This window comes from Homo sapiens, chromosome 2 (genome assembly GCF_000001405.40).
Source record: "Homo sapiens chromosome 2, GRCh38.p14 Primary Assembly".
Lineage (NCBI taxonomy): Eukaryota > Metazoa > Chordata > Mammalia > Primates > Hominidae > Homo > Homo sapiens.
In genome coordinates, this window is record NC_000002.12 from 132,794,561 (window position 1) to 132,816,699 (window position 22,139).

Sequence of the window (22,139 nt, forward strand, 5' to 3'; positions counted from 1 at the left end):
GGGAGGTGGAGGTTGCAGTGAGCCGAGATCATGCCACTGTACTCCAGCCTGGGCAACAGAGTGAGACTTCATCTCAACAACAACAAATACACACACACACACACACACACACACACACACACATACACATGTGTCTTGGCTCTTCAACTAAGCCATCAGTTAGTTCATGGTCTCCCTACGGGACCCTGTTTTACACTTCCTGATATCCTATAATTCCCTGATGCCTGGTACCTAAGTAGTAACTACATTAGGCAATAGCCAAAAGTGGATGGACTTTGTTACCAGGGATCACTGATGTGAGCTTCTGGCTTCTGGAGAGACATATTAGTAGAGCCCTTTCTCAGTGATCATTTCTACCTTTGCTGTGGTTTGCTGTGGGTGCAGCATGGTACCACATATTAAGAGAACTGAAGGGGGCCAAAGGAACAGAGATCTTATGATTGTTCCAATATTGTTAGCAGGCACTGTGTATGCACATTTCCTGTGTTATCTCATTTAATCCTCACCACAACTCTCTGAAATAGAAAAGAAATATCATTATCCTCATTTTCTAAAAGGGAAGACTGAGGCATTGAGGTTTTAATACCTTGCCCAAGTTGCCCTATCAATATAACATTCTGATGCCCGGCCCAAGTCCAAGCCACTATGCCATAATGCCAAGTCAGCCCTGTGACAATGAGCAGAGCTCCCAGAGATACACAGAACCCCATGAATCCCAGTGAGTTGTCATTGGTAATAATGATTATTCTTAAAATTCTTCATCAAAAATGTGTATTAGCTTCTATTGCAACATTATCTTAATTATGTTGATTTAACAGGGAAAAATACAACCTGTCTTCTGCACTATCCAAAGTATATTTTCCTCATTGTTTATTTTAGATTACTACCCTGAATGATTCATATACTTTAAACATTCTTACTGTGAGAAATGCAGTATAAAATCTACAATTTTAGTTAAAAAATAGAGATAATGAAGCTGGCCCAGTGCAGTGGCTCATGCCTGTAATCCCAACACTTTGGGAGGCCGAGGCAGGCAGATCACAAGGTCAGGAGTTCGAGACCAGCCTGACTAACATGGTGAAACCCCTTTTGTAATAAAAATATAAAAATTAGCTGGGTGTGGCGGCGGGCGCCTATAATCCCAGCTACTTGGGAGGCTGAGGCAGGAGAGTCATTTGAACCCAGGAGGTGGAGGTTGCAGTGAGCTGAGATCGCGCCATTGCACTCCAGCCAGGGCAACAGGATGAGACCCCGTATCAGAAAAAAAAAAAAAAAAAACAAAAAAAACAAAAGAGAATGAAGCCCAGAGTTTCATTCTTCCCATTTTTAAATAAAAACTCCATACTTAAAAAAAAAAAACTCCTGACTTTACGGCTATATTATAGATTGGATGCCATTAGGTCTTTATGAATGTTTAAAGTGACAATATTCCACTGAAATTCAATTCAAATCTAACTTGAGAATATTTACATTTAATGGTCTATCTACACTGATGGAATTATTCAGTAAAATAAAAAAACAGTTATCCACAAATGTTCATGTCATTGTTTTAAGCCTCACGTTTTTCATTATATATTTATTTGGCAATTGTGTTTTTTCAAGTTACTCTTTTTATGTCAACGAGAGTTAAAAAGCCATGCTGGTTAAAGTTTTGCCAGATAAGCACAAAGCTAACCCCAGCTAGAGAAAAAAAATGCAGAGCCCATGAATTTTTAAAAGTTCATACATAATATATCATAAAAGTAGGATGAATAATATGGGACGTGGGTTTTAATAAAAAGCTCCTTGACCATTTCTCAGAGACTCTGAGATGTAATCAATATCCAAAAAAGGTATCTTGGGGACAAAGCCAAGATTTATGATATTTTTGCCAAGAATGACACTTTCTGCTTACTATATCAGCTGGGGGACATGATATTGAATTTCAGAGAACACAAGAAAGGAAGGTATTTTTATCTGCCTGACAATGCTTCAAGGATGCACTTTATGGTTCGCTTGTGACATCATATTTGATGGAAGGAAAATAACCACCAAAACAAGTGTTCTGAAGGCAACTGGGAAACTCACGTGCACCTCAGCATCAGTTCGTGACTGTGTCAGACTTCGGTTTCTTTCCACCTCTGAAAGCAAATCTCCAGATGAAAGATCCAAGAGACGTGAGTGAAGTTTCTAGGTAAAACCAAGCAGAAACATTGAATAGCGATAATTTAATTATTTGTCTCAAAATCCTGCCTTGGACAGTTAAATCTCAAAAGACTTGACATTTCCAGATTAGATAATACATGTCCTAATTAAAAAAAGTTTATTCTAGTTTATCAGTGTTCCCATACATGTATATGTACGTGTATGTGCAAATTACATTTTGTAAACAATAGTGATGCTTTTACAGTCTGTCAGTCTGCCTTGGAAGATATGTAGTAGAAAAATATAAGTAGTAGTTAAAAAAATAAGCAGTAGGAAAAGTATGAATACTCTGATATATTTATTGGGTAGTATGAAAATTAACATTTGATATTCACATTAAGAAAACCAATCACCAAGTTCACCTTACTATGTTGAGCAGTGGTTAAAATCTGAGCAGATAATTATAAAAGTGACCTTATTTCTAAACAGCATTGATCTTGTGAAATCTTCCCTTGGACACGTTTTAACTCAAAGTCATTAATGTCATCTGTTAGGAACAATTAATGTGAATAGAAAATAATTGCTTTGGGGACCTGGGGACTCTGAGGATTTTGTACATTAATATTCACGTGCTGTTCAATTATATACTGAATTCTTTATTTCAGTTTTGTTTGGGAGGACTGCTAAGCCAGAGACATTTCACTGTATTAATCTTGATACTAATTACTAAGGCTTTTCTGTGGACATTAAATTTGATCTGTTTAATTGCAAATACAATAAAAGTCGTGATTTATGCTTAATGTTTCTGCTAGGCTGATGACATTTTGAAAATGGCACTTATAGCCTGGTTTGTCTTGGTTACAACTTTTGTGGCTCCAGATGCTAAAAAAAAATCTAATTGAGTAAGTAAATAATGCAGCTAAGCGTGCCTCTCTCGCTTCCGAAAAGTTTTTTCTACTCCTTTTTCTCCCTGGAGAGGCCCTGCTGCACACTGATGCTGATCTAAGAAATGCCTTTGCTTCTTTGCCACTGAGCAATGTTAGAATCATCTTAGAGGGCAGGGCTATCCCACTGGTCACTCTGTCCCAGCATATCTACCATGAAGTCAGCAGGGACTACAAACTCCACTAAAATGAGTCACATTCTCTGTGTTCCCCATTCAACTCTCTTTAGGCTGAACTTCTGTGAGAGCCCTGAGTACTTGGTTAGGTGATTATTCAACAAACATTTATACAGCACCTCCTGAAGGATGGCACTGTGGCAGGGCTGTATTCTATCCTCCTGCAAGGGTAAAGGTATTTTTTTGCTGTTGTGGGTTGGCCAGTTCTCCTTCTCAGTGGACCTTCAAATTGTGTGTCTGTGGAAGTCCTTTCACAAAAAAGAAAATAATTTCTAAACTGATTGCCTGTTGCTTTGAAAATCCAAATTTCTCCAGCAGAGCTAAGACCTCCATAGGTAACCAGAACCAATGCATTGTTTCTGGACAGTTTTTATAATCCTAATTCTATAATCCTAATTCAAGATTCAAGCTCTAGAATCTGACTTTCCTGGGGGCAAAGATACAATTTATCTCATCTTGCAATCTCCGGAACCCGACAAAATACATCATACTTAGTAAGCAGCCCATTAGTGCTTGTTGTAGTCTTTAAACAAAAAGATGTCTTTATATTTTACTCACCCATATGTAAGTTTTAAAGATTGAGAGAGTGCCAAAAGAATTACAATGTTGTGAGACCTAAGAATACATTTATCAATATGCAAACAGGACAAGAAGTTATGGGAAATGACATTCAACAAAAGAAATGATTTTGAGTGGTATATCATCTGATTTGAGAGAAGAGGCCTCAATGGATTAGCTATCTAAATGACTCAGTTCATGAATGCACTTCATTATTATTTCTCAGATATATGATGTCACACTTTCACCTACTGCATGAATATATGCATCTAAAAACCTGCCCTCCTCAAGGCTGTTTCAGTGGCTTTTATCCAAATGGGTCCCTTCCCTTCATTGAAATAGGGAAGGTCTGCATGGGAGAAAGGAGAGGTCCTGGGGCAAGGGCCAGGAGACCTGAGTTCTAGCCCTGTTGAAGGTACACGTTCTACAGGATCTCAGGAATGTAACTGAACCTCTTAGTCTCAAATCCCTCATCTGCAAAAAGAAAGATGGAAAAACTTAAACCAGAGCTACCATTTGACCCATCAGTCCATTACTAGGTGTGTACCCAAAGGAAAATCCATCATTCTACCAAAAAGATACAAGCACACACATGTTCATTGCCAGGCTATTTACAGTAGCAAAGACACGGAATCAACCTAGGTGCAAATAAGTAGTGGAATGGATAAAGAAATATGGTACATATATACCATAGAATACAGCCATAAAAAAGAATGAAATCATGTCCTTTGCAGCAACACGAATCCAGCTAGAGGAGGCCATAATCCTATGTGAATTAATTCAGAAATAGAAAACCAAATACTGCATGTTCTCACTTATAAGTGGAAGCTAGATACTGAGCACACATGGACATAAACATGGGAACAACAGACCCTGCAGACTACTAGATGGGGAAAAAGAAAGGGGGGAATGGGTTGAAAAACTACTTAGTGGGTACTATGCTCACTACCTCGGTGATGGGACCTGCATCCAAAACCCAGCATCATGCGATATACCCACGGAACAAAACTGCAGAAGTACCCCCTGAATCTAAAATAAAAGGTGAAGTTAAATAAAATTCCTAACAAAGTCACAACATCCAATGACAGAATTATAGGCATCAGTAAGTGTAAATTTTCAGAAAAAAGAAAGACAGAAGTGGCTATTTAATCTACTACCACAGGTATAGAGAGGCACTATCATATTAAGAAGGGAAAACAAACAGGATAATATGCTGAAATTCACATAGGCCAATTTATTGTTATACCTGACAGTTGGTGGTAGGTAACTTCTTAGATAATAAGGCACGAATGAATCATTCATTGTTATAGCTTTCATACATATAAGGCAAATAAAAATTGACTTAGAATAAAATAAAATCTGTTTAGTTTTAAAAAAATAATTTAAACATTTATTATTATTTTTCAAAATTTTTAATTATTATGGGTACATAATAGTTGTTTATATTTATGGGGGTGCATGTGATGTTTTGATACAGGTATACAATGTATAATGATCCAATCAGGGTAACTGGATTACCTATCATCTCAAGCACAATAAAATCTACTTTTGTGTTAAGGCTATAGGCAAGGAAATGATAGGTTAATATCACACAACTTCCCTTAAATAACTGTGAAAGCACACAACCCCAAAGAAACTACATTTCTTATGACAAGAATTTTTATAATAGGCTCATATTTTCATCATATACATAATATACAGGCATGTGTGTGTATAGCATCACTTTTTATACTGATACTATATTACCTGTGCTTCAGTGAAAAATAGGTAGAATGTATACATTAGAAATTTAAGTCACTGTCAAAAAGAGCATAACTGACTTAAGAAGGCCATGACCTCTTAAGAGGAGCCCCCCAGCTTAGGGGGCAAATTCTCTATCATATACCCATGTATAGTTCATATTTACTGTTAGTGTTCATCTGAATAAAATCTCATCTGAAATACTTTAAACTTCCTGTCTTTAACCTGCAAATCCCAATGAATTCTGGAGTTAGACATACTTGTTTTATTTTAGACATGAAAAGTAGCAGGACTACTCAGTATAGGTTTGAAATAGGCCTTGTGTCATCTGTCACACTGTCTCAGTAACTGAGATTCAACTGGGTTTCAGAAATAGAGACTCCTAATTTCACACATTTTCAAACCAGAGGTAAGTGAGGGATCTTTTTACTCATATGCTTCCTTTGACGGTGACAGTCTAACCCTCCCTGTCAGGCTGGCTTCGCTGTCTCTGGAATGTGCCCCTCTCCTGTCTGAGTTGATCTTTTGTCCATTTTTCCATGGCACACTTTCCTCCTCCTGCCCCTAGATCCTGTTCAGTATTCAGGATGACACTGAAACCCTCCCTGTAAAGTCATCTATCCTCTCTAACCCACAGTGGATTCCCTGCCTTGAGGAATTGGACTGCCTCTCATTTTGGTCCTTTATCCAAAGTGTACTCTTACTGAGTTGTTCTCTGTGTAGGTTCTATCTTCCTAACAGGACAATCAACTCCATGAAAATGCAGGTCAATCCCTTAATTTCTACATTGTCCCAGTGGCAGGGACTAGCTGGGTGTCACGAAACCTCGGGAACCTTGGCCCTCTTCTTTCTGGGGGCACGGCTGGCCTGCATTTCCCAGCCTCCTTTACAGTCAGGTGTGCCCACATGACACGTTTAGTTCTAGTCATGGAGCCTGAGCAAAAGTGACATCTGCCCTTTCTTGCCTGGCCCAGGAATACCTCCCTCATATAGTCTTCCATGCTCTTTATCCTTCCACTGGCTTCATGCAGACAACTCAGCACAGCAACCTTGGAAGCCACTTGTTGAAGATGAAGCCAACCAGGTATAAGGAGTTTGGCTTCTTTAATTCTCAATTGGAAGAAAGCCACTCTGGGAAAAGAAACGACTTTTCTGGATTTGACACAAGGAAGATACCAACTTATACTGAATTTGGGCCATGATTCGTTTGGAGTTTGTTATTATTGCTGACATTGACCTGGCTGACACAGTTCTCTTGGCAGCCTACAGGGTAGCCACTCAAGAAACATGCATGTTTCTATGTATATATGTCATATGTGTACATAGGTGCACACACATGTTCATATATACGGGTATTTACACATGTATATGTAGTGGCTATGTCAACAGCGCAAGGTGACAACCCCACTGAAGATTCTAGCTTCATAGGAAAGAGACCTGCTTTCTGTCACTATACACAAGGGCAGGGGTTAGGGGATTGTGTGAAGAGCTAAGATGTATCACAATTTATAACAGAACGCATGCCTCATACAGGTGTAAAATACCAAGCTAAGCTTTGGGGACCTGGCAATGCCAGGGTAGTCAGTGCCTGGACTATACATTGGGTCGGTAATATTTGGTGGGTTCACTTGCCTTCATTCAGTCAGTTTTATGTTCTCTGTGCAGTTCTGCATCTGTAATTCAAGGCAGAGAAATGTCCCCCTCAACAGACTGTGCCAGGGACTGACTGTCCTTTATCTGGCAGGATGAAGGTGGAGTGGACCCTTCAGGGTGGTAGTGACTGACTCTGCAGCTCTCTAGTTAATGATGGCAGCAGAGACTGGAGACTGAGGTGCATTTGAGCCTTTGGCTATTTAGTAGAGACGGGGTTTCACCATGTTGGCCAGGCTGGTCTCAAACTGCTGACTTCAGGTTATCCACCTGCCGTAGACTCCCGAAGTGCTAGGATTACAGGCATGAGCCACTGCACCCAGCCCCTCCAACTATTAAAAGCCAAATATCGGCACAAAAGAGAAGTTTTAACCGTTCAGCACCTGATCTGAGAGAAGGGATGCCAACAGCTGCCCTGGCTGCTCCCCGTCTTGGTGAGTCCTAGTCTGCTCTAGCCCACTGTCTCTCTGGGTTCTGCCACACTCTGTCACCTTGGCTAGCTGCTTATTTGGACCTGGCCATGTTTAGGGATCACCCTCCCTCAAATCTAGTGGACTGGATGTTGGGCTGATTTCTCAGAAAAAGAACTTACTGCTTTTTCAGCTTTAGTTTTGTTTTCAAATCATCTCCACTTTGGAGAGCTGTTCTCACCTCACAGCTTCTAGAAAGCTTCCTAGAGCCCCATTTCTGCTCCCTCAACTCTGTCTTAGGCGGGCCCTGGGCCCAGGGTTTGATTCCCTTTGAGCCCAACACAAGGGAAGCAAACCTGGAGTGAGTTATTATGAAATCTCCTGAGTATCTTTTGATATTGCTCACTTCCTCTGATTGCCTGTAAGTTCACCTTTCTAGAGGATTTGGTGCATGTTTAAGAGAAGCATTTTAAATATGACCCTGAATAGACATAATCAGGTGAATAAGCTTTGTTCCTTCTGTTGGGTAACAAGGCAATTTCACAGGTACGCATAAGGATCTCCAAAAGGAAGGTGCAGGAAATTTTCTAAAACAGCTTGGAGCCTGATGAAAACAATTTTTCTGTAGAAGCCAAATGATCTTCCATAAAAACCCCAAAGTTTTGCCTTATTCACATACTAGAATTACATTTTTGCCACACTGAGAAGTGTGATTTTTCATCAGCCCCTCCAGAATCCCATCAAGAGAGATTGTGGCAGATCCCTGGGTTCACATTTCACAAGTTTCATTCTATTCCATTAAGAATTTATTATAAAACTGAATATTATATAACTGCATATTACATAACTGAGTATTATATGGTCATTTCTTAGATTCACAAAAATTTGAGACCAGGACAAAATCTTTTTGGATAAAAGCTGATGTTTAATTGATTATGCCATTATTTCCATTTTGGGCTACAAAGATAAAACATAATATCTGCATTCAGCCTTCCTGCTGATGTGACAGTGTGCCTTCCAAATGTTCTCCTAGAGACCCTTTAAAAAAATATGTCCATCATAATTTGATCTCACTTCAGTGTCTGAAATTTTTACAGCTAATTTTTTAAGCCATCTGCAACAGTCCTTGTTGCAATTATTATTTTCCCTGACAACTTTTAGACTTGCCTTGCACATCAATGTTTAGCTGCCCTGAGTGCATTCTGTTTTGCTCTGGATGGTGCCTTGGCAAATGACATGGCTCTGTCTCTTTTCTACTTCTCCAGGACCCAAGGTTATAAAATACTTTTGAAACAATTATTCCACAGCTATATTCAAAACCTTCTTCAAGGGTCCCCACTTCCATGACAGCCTGATTATCCAGTGGCTACCTAAGGGAGCAGCATTTGGTTTGGTGATTAGAAAGTTTATTCGTGGTCTCTGCAGCTTAGACTGATGACCAGAGCACCTCTTACCTGTCCTTATCTGCTGCAATTCCATTAACAGTGCCCCAAGGCCCACAGGGTGAGCACCAGTGGGTAGATGGATGAGGATGAAAACAGCAGACCTTGCCCTAAAGAGCCTCAGCTCTAATTAGTCTAACACTGATTTACGCTTTATGCTTTATGAAGCATCTACTATGTGCAGAATCATGACTATGAGCTATGAGAGACTCAAGGAAGCTCATTAACAGAGCTGACAATATCCCTGAGCAGACCAAGCACACAAAGGAGAAAAAAATACAAGAATTCTTAAGGCAGAACATGCAAACAAGATCACAGTAGAGTAAGGGTGCCATGTAGCTAGAGATGGTGGAGGCCAGTGTATTAACCACACAGTTAAATGTATGTAAGAGAATATTCTGTGCAAAGGGAACTTAGCTCTTCCTGCAGAGCTCCCAAATCTCTTGAAGTCTTTACAAAACAAACAAACAAACAAACAAACAAACAAAATTCGGAAATATTTCAGACCTAACAGCAAAGTGACAGAATGTTGAGAAAAAGGACAGAAGGTTAAGGCTCCCATGGCAGGCCAGTCAGACGTGTGGGCAGGAGGACAGCTGAAGAGTGACTCGCATTTGCTTGCCAAGCCTGACTCTCTGAAGCTTCCCTTTTGTCTTCTTCTGTAAATATGATCTAAGGGAGGAAGTGATTCAGCACAGCCTGAGCCTATTCTGGGATCTAAGAGACACAGAAGTGCCCTGAAATTTCCATTTTCATCACTAATTACTTTAACAGGTACTTTAATAAGTGCTTTCCAATTGCCCCCGCTGTTTTGTAAAATTATCTACACTGCATTTTACATTTTTAATCAAGCTTTATTTTTGAAAAGTTCTGACTTTCTGAAGATTTTGCCTTTTACATGTGGGGGAACACATTTTTTCCCTCTGATTTCACCAAACTAAAAGGATTAGTTAGTGGAGAAAAAAAAACCCAAAACTTGACCTATTTTTACCAGACCTATTGGAAGCTCCATTGATGGTCACTAGAATTCAATGTACCACTTATTAGGAAGAAATGAATTACCACTTGCTCTGTGGGGGGAAGAGACACTCTGTGAAGTCCTTTCCCTAATCTTATCTCATGAATCTTCATACTACTGTGTGGAAGAAGCTGTCATCTTAGTTTTTAGAGATGAAGAACCCAAGATGACAGAAGCGAAGGAAGGCATCTGAAGTCACAATGCTACATATATTTCAGGAAGCAGGAGAGCCAGGATTCTGTCCCAGACCTGCTTCCTTCTAAGTCCAAGCTCTTCCTACCATATTCTGCTTGCTTTTTCTATGAAGGGAGGGACGTGATAACATCATTGCTATCTTTTACAAGGCAAATCCTATGGAAGTAGCTTATTTCTGCCTAAATGTTAAGCCCACAATTTGAGCAGCTCCCATCAAATTAATTATGTTGCCTTGGTGATTTTCCTTCCCAGGTTCTGCTTTAGAGGCAGATAATTGGGAAGGAAATAATAATAATAACAGCAACAATAATAGCTGTGAACACTTATCGAGCTCTTTTTAGCACTAAGTGTGTGTTTCACATATGTTATCCTTTTAAATCCTCATTACAACCTACAGTAAGAACTATCATACCTGTCTTGCAAGTGAAAAAACTGACATACAGAGCTAAAAAAATCTTGCCTAATGTCACATAAATAGTATCTGAACCCTGGACAGTCTGACTGCAGAGTTCATGCTCTTAATTCTACCCAATTAAATCTGGTTAATGATGATTTGTTATAGACAACTTATTAAAATAACAATAAAAATTAATCAGTAAAATGAACTGCATAGAATTAAAAAATAATTACCTCTAAATACAATGTGATATCTGTTTGCTAGACACAAACATCATTCATTCATTTACTTAAAATCATGCTTTCCTTATTATTATTCCATGGTTATCACTATTGGTATTTGATTGGTATTGTTAATTTCATTTGCTTTTTAGATCACTACATTCTTTCCATGGAAGCATAATTCCATATGTAAATTTGGACCTAACTGAAAAAATAAAACTATGCAAAAAAAAAAAAATGAACATTTATAGAGTGCTCACTTGCAGGCTAGGTCTTGTGCTAAGTGTTTACATTATTATTATTTTTAAAAAATTTAATTTAATTTAATTCAATATTTTATTTTATTTTTATTTTTCCAGAAGTTATTGAGGTACAGGCGGTATTTGGTTACAAGAGTACATTCTTTAGTGGTGATTTCTGAGAATTTGGTGGACTCATCACCCGAGCAGTATACACTGCACCATATTTGTCATCTTTTATCCCTCGCCCCCTTCCCACTCTTCCTGCCAGGTCTTCAAACTCCATTCTATCATTTTTATGACTTTGCGTCCTCATAGCTTAGCTCTCACATATCAGTGAGAACATAGGATATTTGGTTTTCCATTTGTGAGTTACTTCATTTATAATAACAGTCTCCAATCTCATCCAGGTCACTGCAAATGCTGTTAATTCGTTCCTTTTTATGGCTGTGTAGTATTCCATTGTGTATATATACCACAGTTTCTTTCTCCACTCATTGACTGATGGGCATGTGGGTTGGTTACACAATTTTGCAATTGCGAACTGTGCTGCTATAAATGTGTGTGCAAGTATCTTTTTCGAATAATGATTTGTTTTCCTCTGGGTAGATACCCAGTAGTGGCATTGCTGGATCAAATGGTAGTTATATTTTTAGTTCTTTAAGGAATCTTCACACTGTTTTCCATAGTGGTTGTACTAGTTTACATTCCCAGCGGCAGTGTAGAAGTGTTCCCTGTTCACCATATCCACTCTGACATCTCCTGTTTTTTTTTCATTATGGCCATTCTTGCAGGAGTAAGGTGGTATTGCATTGTGGTTTTGATTTGCATTTCCCTGATCATTAGAGATATTGAGCATTTTTTCATATGTTTGGTAGCCATTTGTATATTTTCTTTTGAGAATTGTCTATTCACGTCCTTAGCCCACTTTTTGATGGGATTGTTTGTTTTTTTCTTACTGATTTATTTGAGTTCATTGTAGATTCAGGATATTAGTCCTCTGTCAGATGTACAGATTGTGAAGATTTCCTCCCACTCTGTGGGCTGTCTGTTTACTGTGCTGACTGTTCCTTTTGCTGTGCAAATTTCTTTAGTTTAATTAGGTCCCAGCTATTTATCTTTGTTGTTATTGCATTTGCTTTTGGGTTCTTGGTCATGAAATCCTTGCCTAAGCCAATGTCTAGAAGGGTTTTTCCAATGTTATCTTCTAGAAATTTTATAGTTTCAGGTCCTTAATCCATCTTGAGTTGATTTTTGTATGAGGCGAGAGGTAAGGATCTAGTTTCATTCTCCTACATGCGGCTAGCCAATTATCCTAGCACCATTTGTTGAAAAGGGTGTCTTCTCCCCACTTTATGTTTTTGTTTGCTTTGTCTAAGATCAGTTGGCTGTTAAGTATTTGGGTTTATTTCTGGGTTCTCTGTTCTGTTCCTTTGGTCTATGTGCCTATTTTTATACCAGTGCCATGCTGTTTTGGTGACTATGGCCTTATAGTATAGTTTGAAATTGGTTAGTGTGATGCCTCCAGATTTGTTATTTTTGTTTAGTCTTGCTTTGGCTATGTGGCTCTTTTATGGTTCCATATGAATTTTAGAATTGTTTTTTTCTAATTCTGTGAAGAATGATGGTGGTATTTTTATGGGGATTGCATTGAATTTGTAGATTGTTTTTGGTAGTATGGTCATTTTCACAATATTGATTCTACTCATCCATGAGCATGGGATGTGTTTCCATTTGTTTGTGTCATCTATGATTTCTTTCAACAGTGTTTTGTAGTTTTCCTTGTAGAGGCCTTTTGACCCCTTGGTTAGGTATATTCCTAAGTATTTAATTTTTTTGCAGCTATTGTAAAAGGGGTTGAGCTCTTGGTTTGATTCTCCACTTGGTTGCTGTTGGTATATAAAAGAACAACTGATTTGTGTACATTAATCTTGTATCCGGAAACTTTGCTGAATTCTTTTATCAGTTCTAGGAGCTTTCTAGAGGAGTCCTTAGGGTTTTCAATGTAAATGATCATATTGTCAGCCAACAGTGACAGTTTGACTTCATTTTAACCAATTTGGATGCCCTTTATTTCTTTCTCTTGTCTGATTGCTCTGGCTAGGATTTCCAGTACTATGCTGAAGGAGTGGTGAGAGTGGGCATCCTTGTCTTGTGTCAGTTCTTAGAGGGAATGATTTCAACTTTTCCCCATTTAGTATTATGTTGGCTGTGGGATGGTCATAGATGGCTTTTATAACATAAAGGTATGTCCCTTATATGCTGATTTTGCTAAGAGTTTTAATCATAAAGGGATGCTGGATTTTGTTGAATGTTTTTTCTGCATCTATTGAGATGATCATGTGATTTTTGTTTTTAATTCTGTTTATGTGCTGTATCACATTTATTGACTTGTGTAGGTTAAACCATCCCTGCACTCCTGGTATGAAACCCACTTGATCATGGTGGTTTATCTTTTCTATATGTTGTTGGATTCGGTTAGCTAGTATTTTGTTAAAAATTTTAGCATATCTATGTTCATCAAGGATATTGGTCTGTAGTTTTCTTTTTTGGTTGTATCCTTTCCTGGTTTTGGTATTAGGGTGATGCTGGCTTCATATAATGAATTAGGGAAGGTTCCTTCTTTCTGTTTCTTGTGGAATAGTGTCAAAAGGATTGGCAACAATTCTTCTTTGAATGTCAGGTAGAATTCTGCTATGAATCCATCTGGTCCTGAACTTTTTTTGTTGTTGGTAATTTTTAAATTACCAGTTCAATCTCACTGCTTGTTAATGGTCTGTTCAGGGTATCTAATTCTTTCTGGTTTAAGCTAAGAGGGATGTATTTTTCCAAGAATTTATCCATCTCTTCTAGGTTTTCTAGTTTATGTGCGTAAATGTGTTTACAGCAGCCTTAATTGATCTTTTGTATTTCAGTGGCGTCAGTTGTAATATCTCCTGTTTCGTTTCTTAGTGAGGTTGTTTGGATTTTCTCTCTTCTTTTCTTGGTTAATCTTGCTAATGGTCAATCAATTTTATTTATCTTTTCAATGAACCAGTTTTTTGTTTCATTTATCTTTTCATCTTTTGTATTTTTTTTGGTTTCAATTTCATTTAGTTCTGCTGTGATCTTGGTTATTTCCTTTCTACTGCTGGGTTTGAGTTTGGCTTGTTCTTGTTTCTCTAGTTCCTTGAGGTGTGACCTTAGAGTATCAGTTTGTGCCCTTTCAGTCTTTTTGATATAGGCATTTAGGGCTCTGAAATTTCCTCTTAGCACTGCCTTTGCTGTATCCCAGAGGTTTTGATAGATTGTGTCATTATTGTCATTCTGTTCAAAGAATTTTTTATTTCCATCTTGATTTGGTTTTTGACCCAGTGCTCATTCAGGAGCAGGCTATATCATTTCCACGTATTTGCATGGTTTTGAAGGTTCCTTTTGGAGTTGATTTCCAGTTTTATTCCACTGTGGTCTGAGAGAGTGCTTGATATAATTTCAATTTTCTTAAATTTATTGAGACTCGTTTTATGGCCTATCATATGGTCTATCTTGGAGAAAGTTCCACATACTATTGAATAGAATGTGTATTCTGCGGTTGTTGAATGAAATATTCTGTATAAATCTGTTAAGTCCATTTGTTCCAAGGTATAGTTTACATCCATTGTTTCTTTGTTGACTTTCTGTCTTGATGACCTGTCTAGTGCTGTCAGTGGAGTATTGAAGTCCCTCACTATTATTGGGTTGCCGTCCATCTCATTTCTTAGGTCTATTAGTAATTGTTTTATGAATTTGGGAGTTCCAGGGTTATGCATATATTTTTAGGATTGTGATATTTTCCTGTCGGACAAGGCCTTTACCATTATATAATGTCTCTCTTTGTCTCTTTTAACTGCCGATGCTTTAAAGCTTGTTTTGCCTGATCTAAGAATAGCTACTCCTGCTGGCTTTTGGTGTCCATTTGTACGAAATGCCCTTTTCCATCCCTTTAAGTTTATGTGAGTTCTTATGTGTTAGGTGAGTCTCCTGAAGGCAGCAGATGGTTGGTTCATGAGTTCTTATCCATTCTGTGGTTCTGTATCTTTTAAGTGGAGCATTTAGGCCATTTACATTGAATGTTAGTATTGAGATGTGACGTACCATTGCATTTATTGGGCTCGTTGTTGCCTGTGTACTTCAGTTTTTGGTTTGTTGTTTTTGCTTTTTAACTTGTATTTTTGTGTTATAGGTCCTGTGTGATTTATGCTTTCAAGAGGTTCTGTTTTGATGAGTTTCCAGGATTTGTTTCAAGATTTAGAGCTCTTTTTAGCAGCTCTTGTAGTGGTGGCTTACTGATGGCAAATTATCTCAGCATTTGTTTGTCTGAAAAAGACTGTATCTTTCCTTCATATACGATTCTTAGTTTCACTGTATACAAAATTCTTGGCTGATAATTGTTTTGTTTGAAGAGGCTGAAGATAGGGCCCCAATCCCTTCTAGCTTGTAGGGTTTCTGCTGAGAAATCTGCTGTTAATCTTATAGGCTTTCCTTTCTAGGTTACCTGGTGCCTCTTAGGATTCTTACCTTCATCTTAAGAATGGATAGCCTGATGACAATGTGCCTAGGCAAAGATCATTTTGTGATGAATTTCACAGGTGTTCTTTGTGCTTCTTGTATTTGGATGTTTAGGTCTCTAGTGAGGCCAGGAAAGTTTTCCTGGATTATTCCCCCAAATATGTTTTCCAAGCTTTTAGAATTCTCTTCTTCCTCAGGAACACCGATTATTCTTATGTTTGGTTGTTTAACATAATCCCAGACTTCTTGGAGGCTTTGTTCATATTTTCTTATTCTTTTTTTCATTGTCTTTGTTGGATTGGGTTAATTTGAAGACATTGTCTTTGAGCTCTGAATTTCTTTCTTCTACTTGTTCAATTCTATTGCTGAGACTTCCAGAGCATTTTATATTTCTAAAAGTGTGTCCAAAGTTTCCTGAATTTTTCGTTGTTTTTTAAGCTATCTATTTCCTTGAATATTTCTCCATTCACTTCTTGTATTAATTTTTGGATTTCCTTGCAGTGGACTTCGCCTTCTCTGATCCCTCCCTGATTAGCTTGGTAACTAACCTCCTAAATTCTTTTTCACATAAATCAAGGATTTCTTCTTGGTTTGGATCCATTGCTGGTGAACTAATGTGATTTTTTTGGAGAGTGTTAAAGAGCCTTGTTTTGTCATATTACCAGGGTTGGTTTTCTGGTTCCTTTTCATTTGGGTGGGCTCTGTCAGAGGGAAGGTACAGGGTTGAAGGCTGTTGTTCAGATCTTTTTGTCCTATGGGTATTCCCTTGATGTAGTACTCTCCCCCTTTTCCTATGGATGTGGCTTCCTGTAAGCCAAAAGTGATTGTTGTCTCTTTTCCAGATCTAGCCACCCAGTGAGTCTACTCGACTCCAGACAGGTACTGGGGGTTGTCTGCACAGAGTCCTGTGAGATGAAACGTCTATGGGTCTCTCAGCCATGGATACCAGCAACTGTTCTGGTGGAGGCGACAGGGGAATGCAGTGGACTCCATGAGGGTCCTTGGCTTTGGTGGCTTAATGTTCTATTTTTGTGTTGGTTGGCCTCCTGCTAGGAGGTGGCGCTTTCCAGAAAGCATCAGCTGTATTAGTGTGGAAAGGGACCAGCTGTGGGCGGGGCCCTAGAGCTCCCAGGATTACATGCCCTTTGTCTTCTGCTACAGGGGTGGATAGGGAAAGACCATCAAGTGGGGGTGGGGCTAGGCATGTCTGAGCTCAGGCTCTCCTTGGGTACATCTTGCTGCTGCTGCTGTAGGAGATGGGGGTGAGATTCCCAGGTCACTGGAGTTGTGTGCCTAGGCTTAGTCATGCAGGTTGTCAGGGAAGTGGGGGAAAGCCGGCAGTCACAGGCCTCACCCAGCTCCCATGCAAACCTAAGGGCCGGTCTCACTACTACCATGCTCCCCCCAACCCTGCCCCCTGCCCCCTCAACAGCCCTGAGTCTGTTTCCAGGCGGAAGGTGAGATAGGCTTGAAAACTTGCCCCAGGCTACCCACCACCCAGCTGAGAAAGAAAAAAGGCTTGGTTCTTCCCCTGCCTGTGGAGTCTGCAAACCAGATTTGTGCCCTCCTCTGAGTTCTGGCTAGGAAGCGTCTGGCCCTGTTCAAATTGTTACAAAGTTCAGCGGGAGATTTCCTTCTTCCTGTGGAGTTTTACCCCCCGCTCCTCTGGCCACCTTCCTGATGGATCCCTGTGGTGCCAGGCAGGAAGGGGCTGCTAGGGGACACAGCAAGCTCCCAGGGCCTTTCTGCTGCTTCTTCTACCCATGTATTTCACTCAGCTCTCTAAATTGACTCAGCTCCAGGTAAAGTCAGAAACTTCTCCCACAAACAGAACTTCAGCTTCTCCAGTGGTGGTGTGTGTTTGGGAGAGGAAGGTCTCCCTTTCCCACTTCCGCAGTTGGGGCACTCACAGTATTTGGGGCATCTCCTGGGTCCTGCAGGAGCGGTCGCTTCCTTTGCAGGGTCTGTGAGTCCTCTCGGGATTGCTGGTTTGTTCTTGCAGTTGATCTGGAGCTAAAATTCATAATGCAAGCCTCCGCATGCTGCCTTGTCTGGAGCTGCAATCTAGTCCTGCCTCCGGTCCTCCGTGATGAAGGTGATATGCATTATTTTTCCTTATTTAATCCTTATGGTCACTTTATGAGGTAGAAACTATTATCAACTCCATTTTTCAAATGAGAAAACTGAGGGACAAGAGAGGCTAAGTAACTGTTAAGTCAAGGATTTGAACCTGGACATAAACTTAAGGACTGCCCCTATGGCACCTCATTCTCTGCCACTATATTGTCTTATCCGTGCTTGAATGTTGGGGTACAATGATGAACAAGCACACTCCCTGCATCAAGGTGCTCATCAGACAGGCGGAGCAGGCACCTGCAACATAGTATGCTGTGGGAACTCTCGGCAGAGGGGTTCTGGGGGCTTTCCTAGGGAAGCTGTAGCTAAGTTTTAGCACAGCTAAGAGATGTTACTGAGAAACGATTACTCAGGAGAGGGGGGCTGTCTTAGTCTTTTCAATTGCTAAAACAAAATACCACAATATTGTGGCTCATAAACAATAGAAATGTATTTCTCGCAGTTTTGGAGGCTGTGAAGTCCAAGATCAAGGTGCCAGCAGATCCAGTGTCTGCGGAGGGCCTATTTTCTGGTTCATAGATGGTGCCTTCTCACTGTATCCTCAAGTGGTAGAAAGGACAAGGCAGCTTTCTGAGGACTCTTTTATAAGGGCACTGTCCCATTCATAAGAGCTCTCATGCTCGTGATCTAATCACTTCCCAACGTTCCTGCCTTCTAATGCCATCACCTTGGGGGTTAAGACTTCAACATATGAATTTGGGGGAAGAGACAAACATTCAGGCCAAAGCAGGGGTCAAAAAAGAAAGAAAGGTCTTTCTGAGAAGAGCATATGAAAATGTCCAGAGACGAGAGAGAATGTGCCATTTTCTGCAAAAAGTTCAGCAAGACCACAGAGGCAAGTTCAAGAGGGGAATGGTGAGAGAGATGTGTCAGCAATCAGGAACTTGGGTCAAGTCACACAGTGAGCAAGTAAGTAGCTGAGTTAGGATCTCATTCCATCACTTTCTGCAAAATACATGCTTTCCTCTACTCCTTTGTCTACCTTATTCTTTTCCCAGTGCTGGACTTGGCTGTGGGCCTCCATTACTCTTACCTATGCACAGAAAGGAAAGGTCTAGAGGAAGGGACTGCAGATGGGTCTCTGGGAAGAAATGTAGACACAGTGGACATTCACACAGCTTTTATGCCTTCTCAGTATGCTTCTTCCTAAAAGGGGTGGCTGGGGAAGTAGGGGGTCAGTCTAGGGCCCTCAATTATGCTGCATGCTAGAAAAGAGCCACCAGCACTCCAGTGATCCGTAATTGCTAATCCTGAAGACATGCAGTGACTCCTCCTGTGACACCAAAGGGTTCCATATGTTATCCAGATGGTCAGCAAGAAACCATACGTGGGCCCTGCTCTTGCAACTACAATGAGGAGACATTAAAATCAAACTATTATCACTTAACTTTGGAAGATAACCTCCAAAGAAGGGAAAATGCAATGTCAGTGTTTTGGAGAACCAAAAAAAATTATGTAGAATTATTTATAAGATGGGTGCTTCCTTACATTATTAAAGGAAAGATTAGAACAAATGAAATTCAGAGTTTGAGAGATTACATAACCACTGGGACCTTCACAGCCTGCAATATTGACTCTCACAGTATTCCACTGCATGGGGGCTGGGATAAGAAAGAGATCAGAGTGTTGATGAAAATGACTTTCGTGATGTGCACTCATCTGCATTTTACAGCTCAATGTCCTGGTTTTACTAGGACAAGTTGCTGGAGTCCCATTCATTTTACAACATTTGTGAAGATGTATTACATAAATGCAATCTCTGGCTGAATGTTCAATGAAAGCCCACTGTCTCACTTCCCTTGATAGTTAATACTAAGTTGTGCATTATCAGGGTTTCAGACTTATTACTTCAGTTTGCCTTATGGGCTTTGTTGCTACAGATCTGCATCACGGTTTCCCTGTAGCTTTATCCCCAAAGCAGTTTTTTAAATCCACTGTTACTTTACCCCATGGTAAGAAATGCCTCATGGTATTATAAACAAGCAGTTGAAAATTGTTATTTATGTGGCTTCCTAATAGCAATTTGAAATATAGGGCATAAAATTACTAGCTTACAACATTGTTCAATATTAACAGTGGGAAGGGTAATATGTAAAACAGACATTAAAGGATTAGCTGCAAAATACATTTCACTAAGCTAAATCATTTCTTGGCAAATGGCAGTTTCCAGCTAATACACAGGATTCATCAAGTCAAGTGGATTTATTTTTATTTTTCTATTAGTTTGTTAAATATATTCTATATTTAAACTTCAATTTTGCAGGTTTCTGTTTCAGGCATATTAGAGGAAGCTTCTGGAAACAGAATCCGAGATAGAAGTGATCTCAAGACTTTCAACTCAAAGCTGCTCGTCGATTTCCCCAGCAAATCTTCTGAGTTGACTAAAGATGAGACTGTAACATCTCAGAGAAAAGTGCATGGCTATGACATTGCAAACATTTGTATGACAGATTAGGAAGTTACAAGTGCATCAGAAATTTCACTAAAAAGGCATATCTTCCCCAAGACATAAAACAATGTTTCCATTGTTTTTGCTTCAGACTCTACAGACACACAACACTCTGTTCTAATCAAGCATGTCTGGAGTTCCGTAAACAATGTGAATCTGTGAAGCAGGCACCCAGAAGGAAGGTAAAGAGAAATTCCTAATCTCCTAGGGTGGAAATTGTGAAGTATTAAGCAGATATTCAATGCATAAATATAAATACCATAATCTCTCTGAGACAGTCTGTAGTTACCATAATCCTAAAATTATTCCGTCTTCTCAAATCCCTAAAGATTTATCAATTTTCATAAAGTACTTTGATGGAAACTTTTTTCAAGATGCAAAGTTATCTTTCTCTGAGCTTTCCTTTCATATTATACCATGTGCAGTATTTGCAACCTCGGAGAATACCAAAAATGAGTTCTTATTTTTCAGAGAAATTGGTTATGGATCTATAAATAACTATTACAAAGAAATGAGCATTATAGAGAGAAGAAGCTGCTCTTAGACTCATTTGAGAAACTATGGGGAAGTTCAGATTCCCAAGACTAATTATTATTGTAAAATTAAGGGTTTGCTTTGAACACTTGTTAGTATTCAGCCGATTTTAAAGACAACAATTTTTTTCTTAGACTGTGGGTTGGAGACTACAAATATTGCTCCTCAAATACCCCATGTTAATAATTCCAGGGGTTTAAAAACATTTATTACATATAAATCTATAGTGTTTTATTTAGCTATTTGGTGTGGGATGGTAAATTTATTTCATAAACCCTTTCCTAATGGTAGAAAACTAAGGAAATAAGATGCCCTTTAACTTGAATGTACAAAAATTTAGTCATTGTGTAACATGTGAATTACTTATTCAAAAAGCCAATGGTTGAGTCACAGAAGACGTCACCAAGCCCAGTGCATCATCAAGCTCTACATTGGAGCAAAGCCCAGGTCCACACGCTGTGGTTAATGTTAACTGCCTTATCAAAATAGCTCAATTGATTGGAATCCAATAGACCAAAATTCTCCATTACAGCCAACATATTTGAAACAAAGAGGATAATAACTATACAACTAGCTTTTCAACATGCAGGAGAAATCCTGGGCTCAGCCTCACCAATGAGCTTCCCTCTCCATGGCTACATCCATAACCAGGGAGGCAGGAAAGCAGGTGGCCAAAGGTGTCATCATAATCTTGGGTTTAAATCCTGGCTTTGTGTGACTAGGGCAAGCCACTTCATCTTTTGAGTCTTCATTTCCTTTAGGGATAATAATACCAATACTAGCTCACAGGGGCTTACCGGAAATTTCAAATTCAAGAGATGGAGCTCTTGGATTCGTAAGGTTGTGGTGAGGATTTAATTAAATGCTTGAAGACTGCTAGCTGTTTTTAGGATCTGGGGCACAATTTGTGGGGCCCAGAGAATCACCTCCACTGAAGAATCACCCTTTCGGCAGCAAGCTAAAAAAAGTGCAAAGTCAATAGCAGAGTGTTCAGCTGAGGTAGAACAAACACAAGTAGCAAGCGGAAGAGGGGATAGGTAAATGCTTCAGTAGGTTCGTTTTGCCAATGCTGAGTCACAGTTGCTTTACAGTCAGAATGTCGGGAGCGGCTTGCTGGAAGCCCCTGCTTGTTTCAATGGATTTCCTTTCCTTTCTCCACAGGAGGGCTGTCCATGCCCTGAAAGGCACTCCTCCCTTGACAGGAAGTACGGGAGGACTTCCCTGCTGAGGCGGAACACTGGCTCCCTCACAAGATGGCCTCCTGTGATGGTGAGCAGAGCTAGTGTCTTCATATTCTTCCCTCTCTGCTCACCCACCTGACATTTCTGCCTTGTCTCACTTGCCTGAACACTCCTCAGTTTTCCTGATCTGGAAGCTAA

General features: G+C 39.6%; 1 protein-coding gene across 20 annotated transcripts in view; it reads right to left on the bottom strand.

Moving 5' to 3' along the window:
* The window catches only part of NCKAP5 (NCK associated protein 5), a 1,003,049-nt gene that overhangs the window by 122,773 nt on the left and 858,137 nt on the right, over positions 1–22,139 (bottom strand). For all 20 annotated transcript variants that reach the window (XM_017003975.3, XM_011511100.4, XM_047444134.1 and 17 more), the window contains one exon: positions 2,068–2,169. In XM_017003975.3, coding sequence (XP_016859464.1) covers positions 2,068–2,169 — 102 coding nt within the window. The remainder of the gene's footprint in view (positions 1–2,067; positions 2,170–22,139) is intronic.